Source organism: Homo sapiens, chromosome 6 (assembly GCF_000001405.40).
Source record: "Homo sapiens chromosome 6, GRCh38.p14 Primary Assembly".
Taxonomy (NCBI): Eukaryota; Metazoa; Chordata; class Mammalia; order Primates; family Hominidae; genus Homo; species Homo sapiens.
The window spans coordinates 71,826,044-71,833,650 of NC_000006.12; the positions used below are offsets into that span (position 1 = coordinate 71,826,044).

Sequence of the window (7,607 nt, forward strand, 5' to 3'; positions counted from 1 at the left end):
ATGTGTTGCATAATTTTATTTCTTAATTAGTTATTGAGATTTCTTTGATGGCCCAGAAAATAGTCTATCTCAGTGACTATTATCATGAATACTTCAAAAGAATGTGTGTTCCACTGTTGTTGGATAGAAAGTCTTATAAATGAACCAGGCACGGTGGCTAACGCCTGTAATCCCAGCACTTTGGGAGGCCAAGGCAGGTAGATCACGAGATCAGGAGATCGAGACCATCCTGGCTAACACGGTGAAACCCTGTCTCTACTAAAAATACAAAACAAATTAACCAGACGTGGTGGTGGGCACCTGTAGTTCCAGCTACTCAGGAGGCTGAGGCAAGAGAAGGGTGTGAACCTGGGAGGCAGAGCTTGCAGTAAGCAGAGATCGCACCATGCACTCCAGACTGGGTGACCGAGGGAGACTCTGTCTCAAAAAAAAAAAAAAAAGTCTTTTTTTTTTATTTTTATTATTTTATTTATTTATTTATTTTTTAAATATAGATACATCACAAATTTAGATTTTTATTATAATTTTATAACACAATTTTAGTACATAAATTTAAATCATACTAAACTTTTAAGAGCAAGTTATTTACATAGATTGATCTAGTTGATTTTCCAGAATTTGAACCTTTTTATTATTTAAATTATTATTATTATTTTTTTTTCCATAACTTCTTTTTTTTATTATTATTATACTTTAAGTTTTAGGGTACATGTGCACAATGTGCAGGTTAGTTACATATGTATACATGTGCCATGCTGGTGCGCTGCACCCACTAACTCCTCATCTAGCATTAGGTATATCTCCCAGTGCTATCCCTCCCCCCTCCCCCAACCCCACCACAGTCCCCAGAGTGTGATGTTCCCCTTCCTGTGTCCATGTGATCTCATTGTTCAATTCCCACCTATGAATGAGAATATGCGGTGTTTGGTTTTTTGTTCTTGCGATATTTTACTGACAATGATGATTTCCAATTTCATCCATGTCTCTACAAAGGACATGAACTCATCATTTTTTATGGCTGCATAGTATTCCATGGTGTATATGTGCCACATTTTCTTAATCCAGTCTATCATTGTTGGACATTTGGGTTGATTCCAAGTCTTTGCTATTGTGAATAATGCCGCAATAAACATATGTGTGCATGTGTCTTTATAGCAGCATGATTTATAATCCTTTGGGTATATACCCAGTAATGGGATGGCTGGGTCAAATGGTATTTCTAGTTCTAGATCCCTGAGGAATCACTGACTTCCATAATGGTTGAACTAGTTTATAGTCTCACCAACAGTGTGAAAGTGTTCCTATTTCTCCACATCCTCTCCAGCACCTGTTGTTTCCTGACTTTTTAATGATTGCCATTCTAACTGGTGTGAGATGGTATCTCATAGTGGTTTTGATTTGCATTTCTCTGATGGCCAGTGATGATGAGCATTTCTTCATGTGTTTTTTGGCTGCATAAATGTCTTCTTTTGAGAAGTGTCTGTTCATGTCCTTCGCCCACTTTTTGATGGGGTTGTTTGTTTTTTTCTTGTAAATTTGTTTGAGTTCATTGTAGATTCTGGATATTAGCCCTTTGTCAGATGAGTAGGTTGCAAAAATTTTCTCCCATGTTGTAGGTTGCCTGTTCACTCTGATGGTAGTTTCTTTTGCTGTGCAGAAGCTCTTTAGTTTAATTAGATCCCATTTGTCAATTTTGGCTTTTGTTGCCATTGCTTTTGGTGTTTTAGACATGAAGTCCTTGCCCATGCCTGTGTCCTGAATGGTAATGCCTAGGTTTTCTTCTAGGGTTTTTATGGTTTTAGGTCTAACGTTTAAGTCTTTAATCCATCTTGAATTAATTTTTATATAAGGTGTAAGGAAGGGATCCAGTTTCAGCTTTCTACATATGGCTAGCCAGTTTTCCCAGCACTATTTATTAAATAGGGAATCCTTTCCCCATTGCTTCTTTTTCTCAGGTTTGTCAAAGATCAGATAGCCGTAGATATGTGGCGTTATTTCTGAGGGCTCTGTTCTGTTCCATTGATCTATATCTCTGTTTTGGTACCAGTACCATGCTGTTTTGGTTACTGTAGCCTTGTAGTATAGTTTGAAGTCAGGTAGTGTGATGACTCCAGCTTTGTTCTTTTGGCTTAGGATTGACTTGGCAATGCGGGCTCTTTTTTGGTTCCAAATGAACTTTAAAGTAGTTTTTTCCAATTCTGTGAAGAAAGACATTGGTAGCTTGATGGGGATGGCATTGAATCTGTAAATTACCTTGGGCAGTATGGCCATTTTCACGATATTGATTCTTCCTACCCATGAGCATGGAGGCTTCTTCCATTTGTTTGTATCCTCTTTTATTTCATTGAGAAGTGGTTTGTAGTTCTCCTTGAAGAGGTCCTTCACATCCCTTGTAAGTTGGATTCCTAGGTATTTTATTCTCTTTGAAGCAATTGTGAATGGGAGTTCACTCATGATTTGGCTCTCTGTTTGTCTGTTATTGGTGTATAAGAATGATTGTGATTTTTGTACATTGTTTTTGTATCCTGAGACTTTGCTGAAGTTGCATATCAGCTTAAGGAGGTTTTGGGCTGAGACAATGGGGTTTTCTAGATATACAATCATGTCATCTGCAAACAGGGACAATTTGACTTCCTCTTTTCCCAATTGAATACCCTTTATTTCCTTCTCCTGCCTAATGGCCCTGGCCAGAACTTCCAACACTATGTTGAATCGGAGTGGTGAGAGAGGGCATCCCTGTCTTGTGCCAGTTTTCAAAGGGAATTCTTCCAGTTTTTGCCCATTCAGTATGATATTGGCTGTGGGTTTGTCATAGATAGCTCTTATTATTTTGAAATACGTCCCATCAATACCTAATTTATTGAGAGTTTTTAGCATGAAGGGCAGTTGAATTTTGTCAAAGGCCTTTTCTGCATCTATTGAGATAATCATGTGATTTGTGTCTTTGGTTCTGTTTATATGCTGGATTACATTTATTGATTTGCGTATATTGAACCAGCCTTGCATCCCAGGGATGAAGCCCACTTGATCATGGTGGATAAGCTTTTTGATGTGCTGCTGGATTCGGTTTGCCAGTATTTTATTGAGGATTTTTGCATCAATGTTCATCAAGGATATTGGTCTAAAATTCTCTTTTTTGGTTGTGTCTCTGTCTGGCTTTGGTATCAGAATGATGCTGGCCTCATAAAATGAGTTAGGGAGGATTCCCTCTTTTTCTATTGATTGGAATAGTTTCAGAAGGAATGGTACCAGTTCCTCCTTGTACCTCTGGTAGAATTCGGCTGTGAATCTATCTGGTCCTGGACTCTTTTTGGTTGGTAAGCTATTTATTATTGCCACAATTTCAGCTCCTGTTATTGGTCTATTCAGAGATTCAACTTCTTCCTGGTTTAGTCTTGGGAGAGTGTATGTGTCGAGGAATGTATCCATTTCTTCTAGATTTTCTAGTTTATTTGCGTAGAGGTGTTTGTAGTATTCTCTGATGGTACTTTGTATTTCTGTGGGATCGGTGGTGATATCCCCTTTATCATTTTTTATTGCATCTATTTGATTCTTCTCTCTTTTTTCTTTATTAGTCTTGCTAGTGGTCTATTTTGTTGATCCTTTCAAAAAACCAGCTCCTGGATTCATTAATTTTTTGAAGGGTTTTTTGTGTCTCTATTTCCTTCAGTTCTGCTCCGATTTTAGTTATTTCTTGCCTTCTGCTGGCTTTTGAATGTGTTTGCTCTTGCTTTTCTAGTTCTTTTAATTGTGATGTTAGGGTGTCAATTTTGGATCATTCTTGCTTTCTCTTGTGGGCATTTTGTGCTATAAATTTCCCTCTACACACTGCTTTGAATGTGTCCCAGAGATTCTGGTATGTTGTGTCTTTGTTCTCATTGGTTTCAAAGAACACCTTTATTTCTGCCTTCATTTCGTTATGTACCCAGTAGTCATTCAGGAGCAGGTTGTTCAGTTTCCATGTAGTTGAGCAGTTTTGAGTGAGATTCTTAATCCTGAGTTCTAGTTTGATTGCACTGTGGTCTGAGAGATAGTTTGTTATAATTTCTGTTCTTTTACATTTGCTGAGGAGAGCTTTACTTCCAACTATGTGGTCAATTTTGGAATAGGTGTGGTGTGGTGCTGAAAAAAATGTATATTCTGTTGATATGGGGTGGAAAGTTCTGTAGATGTCTATTAGGTCCGCTTGGTGCAGAACTGAGTTCAATTCCTGGGTATCCTTATTGACTTTCTGTCTCATTGATCTGTCTAATGTTGACAGTGGGGTGTTAAAGTCTCCCATTATTAATGTGTGGGAGTCTAAGTCTCTTTGTAGGTCACTCAGGACTTCTTTATGAATCTGGGTGCTCCTGTATTGGGTGCATCTATATTTAGGATAGTTAGCTCTTCTTGTTGAATTGATCCCTTTACCATTATGTAATGGACTTCTTTGTCTCTTTTGATCTTTGTTGGTTTAAAGTCTGTTTTATCAGAGACTAGGATTGCAACCTCTGCCTTTTTTTGTTTTCCATTTGCTTGGTAGATCTTCCTCCATCCTTTTATTTTGAGTCTATATGTGTCTCTGCACGTGAGATGGGTTTCCTGAATACAGCACACTGATGGGTCTTGACTCTTTATCCAACTTGCCAGTCTGTGTCTTTTAATTGGAGCATTTAGTCCATTTACATTTAAAGTTAATACTGTTATGTGTGAATTTGATCCTGTCATTATGATGTTAGCTGGTTATTTTGCTCGTTAGTTGATGCAGTTTCTTCCTAGTCTCGATGGTCTTTACATTTTGGCATGATTTTGCAGCAGCTGGTACCAGTTGTTTCTTTCCATGTTTAGTGCTTCCTTCAGGAGCTCTTTTAGGGCAGGCGTGGTGGTGACAAAATCTCTCAGCATTTGCTTGTCTGTAAAGTATTTTATTTCTCCTTCACTTATGAAGCTTAGTTTGGCTGGATATGAAATTCTGGCTTGAAAATTCTTTTCTTTAAGAATGTTGAATATTGGTCCCCACTCTCTTCTGGCTTGTAAGGTTTCTGCCGAGAGATCCACTGTTAGTGTGATGGGCTTCCCTTTGTGGGTAACCCGACCTTTCTCTCTGGCTGCCCTCAACATTTTTTCCTTCATTTCAACTTTGGTGAATCTGACAATTATGTGTCTTGGAGTTGCTCTTCTCGAGGAGTATCTTTGTGGCGTTCTTTGTATTTCCTGAATCTGAACGTTGGCCTGCCTTGCTAGATTGGGGAAGTTCTTCTGGATAATATCCTGCAGAGTGTTTTCCAACTTGGTTCCATTCTCCCCATCACTTTCAGGTACACCAATCAGACGTAGATTTGGTCTTTTCACATAGTCCCATATTTCTTGGAGGCTTTGCTCGTTTCTTTTTATTCTTTTTTCTCTGAACTTCCCTTCTCGCTTCATTTCATTCATTTCATCTTTCATAGCTGATACCCTTTCTTCCAGTTGATCGCATGGGCTCCTGAGGCTTCTGCATTCTTCACATAATTCTCGAGCCTTGTTTTTCAGCTCCATCAGCTCCTTTAAGCACTTCTCTGTATTGGTTATTCTAGTTACACATTCTTCTAAATTTTTTTCAAAGTTCTCAACTTCTTTGCCTTTGGTTTGAATGTCCTCCCATAGCTCAGAGTAATTTGATCGTCTGAAGCCTTCTTCTCTCAGCTTGTCAAAGTCATTCTCCATCCAGCTTTGTTCCGTTGCTGGTGAGGAACTGCATTCCTTTGGAGGTGGAGAGGCGCTCTGCTTTTTAGAGTTTCCAGTTTTTCTGTTCTGTTTTTTCCCCATCTTTGTGGTTTTATCTACTTTTGGTCTTTGATGATGGTGATGTATAGATGGGTTTTTGGTGTGGATGTCCTTTCTGTTTGTTAGTTTTCCTTCTAACAGACAGGACCCTCAGCTGCAGGTCTGTTGGATTACCCTGCCATGTGAGGTGTCAGTGTGTCCCTGCTGGAGGGTGCCTCCCAGTTAGGCTGCTCAGTGGTCAGGGGTCAGGGACCCACTTGAGGAGGCAGTCTGCCCGTTCTCAGATCTCCAGCTGTGTACTGGGAGAACCACTGCTCTCTTCAAAGCTGTCAGACAGGGACATTTCAGTCTGCAGAGGTTACTGCTGTCTTTTTGTTTGTCTGTGCCCTGCCCCCAGAGGTGGAGCCTACAGAGGCAGGCAGGCCTCCTTGAGCTGTGGTGAGCTCCACCCAGTTCGAGCTTCCCAACTGCTTTGTTTACCTAAACAAGCCTGGGCAATGGCGGGCGCCCCTCCCCCAGCCTTGCTGCTGCCTTGCAGTTTGATCTCAGACTGCTGTGCTAGCAATCAGCGAGACTCCGTGGACGTAAGACCCTCCAATCCAGATGCGGGATATAATCTCGTGGTGTGCCATTTTTTAAGCCCGTCAGAAAAGCGCAGTATTCCAGTGGGAGTGACCCGATTTTCCAGGTGCCGTCCGTCACCCCTTTCTTTGACTAGGAAAGGGAAGTCCCTGACCCTTTGTGCTTCCCGAGTGAGGCAATGCCTCGCCCTGCTTTGGCTGGCGCACGGTGCACGCACCCACTGACCTGCGCCCACTGTCTGGCACTCCCTAGTGAGATGAACCCGGTACCTCAGATGGAAATGCAGAAATCACCCGCTCTGCGTCGCTCATGCTGCGAGCTGTAGACCGGAGCTGTTCCTATTTGGCCATCTTGGCTCCTCCTCTCCAAAAAAAGTCTTATAAATGTAAATTAAATGTAAATTCATTCATGATGGTTAATAGTATAATTCAAATTTTCTATATTCTTTTTTTTTACTTATATCAATTACCAAATGAGTTATGTTTAAATCCCCAGGTATAATTGTGGATATGTTTATATCTCCTTTCATTTCTAGAAGTTCTTGTTTTATCTATTTTGATGTATTGTTATTAAATGTGTGCATATTTAGAATTTTTTTTCATTCTTGGCTTGACCCTCTTTTCATCATGTAACATCCCTGTTTAACCCTGCTTCTACTCTTTGTTCTAAAGTCTTCTTCATCTGATATTAATAAAGCCACTCCAGATTTCTTCTGATCAGGCTTGGATGGTATATCTTTTTTGAATTCTTTTACTTTCACCCTATGTATAAGTTTATATTAGGGTAGGTTTATTGTAGACCATTAGTAAGTGGGACTTACATATTTATCAAGTCTGGCAATCTCTGCCTTTTAATGGACATGATGAGATCATTTACATTTAATGTAAATTTTATAGAATTGGGTTTAAACCTATTGTTAGGCTATCATTTGTGATTTTGATCTAATTTTCTTTGTCCTTTTCTCTTTTTCTGCTTCCTTTTTGGATTATGTTTATGATTCCCTTTTATTTCATTTATAGACTAGTTATACTTCTGTGTTTTATATTTTTAATGGTTGCTTCAGAATTAAAATATACTTTTATTTTCTTTTACATATTATGGTCTACTTGCAATTAATACTGTGTCAGTTTACATATAGCATAAAGACCTTTTAGTTACATTAAGTTTCCTCTCTCTCTTTCTTTGTACAATCTTTATCATATATTTTACTTGTAAAAATTTTGTAAATCCATAATACATTGTTAATATTTTTGTTTTAATATGTCAATTATCTTTCAAAG

General features: G+C 39.1%; 2 annotated features.

Annotated features, from left to right (window-relative positions):
• Positions 5,466–6,264: an enhancer, noted in NCBI's record as "NANOG-H3K27ac-H3K4me1 hESC enhancer chr6:72541212-72542010 (GRCh37/hg19 assembly coordinates)". NCBI's record gives its function as "activates a minimal SCP1, AML or CMV promoter by ChIP-STARR-seq in naive H9 embryonic stem cells {active_cell/tissue: H9 hESC(naive)}" and the evidence as "EXISTENCE:reporter gene assay evidence [ECO:0000049][PMID:30033119]".
• Positions 6,265–7,062: an enhancer, noted in NCBI's record as "NANOG-H3K27ac-H3K4me1 hESC enhancer chr6:72542011-72542808 (GRCh37/hg19 assembly coordinates)". NCBI's record gives its function as "activates a minimal SCP1, AML or CMV promoter by ChIP-STARR-seq in naive H9 embryonic stem cells {active_cell/tissue: H9 hESC(naive)}" and the evidence as "EXISTENCE:reporter gene assay evidence [ECO:0000049][PMID:30033119]".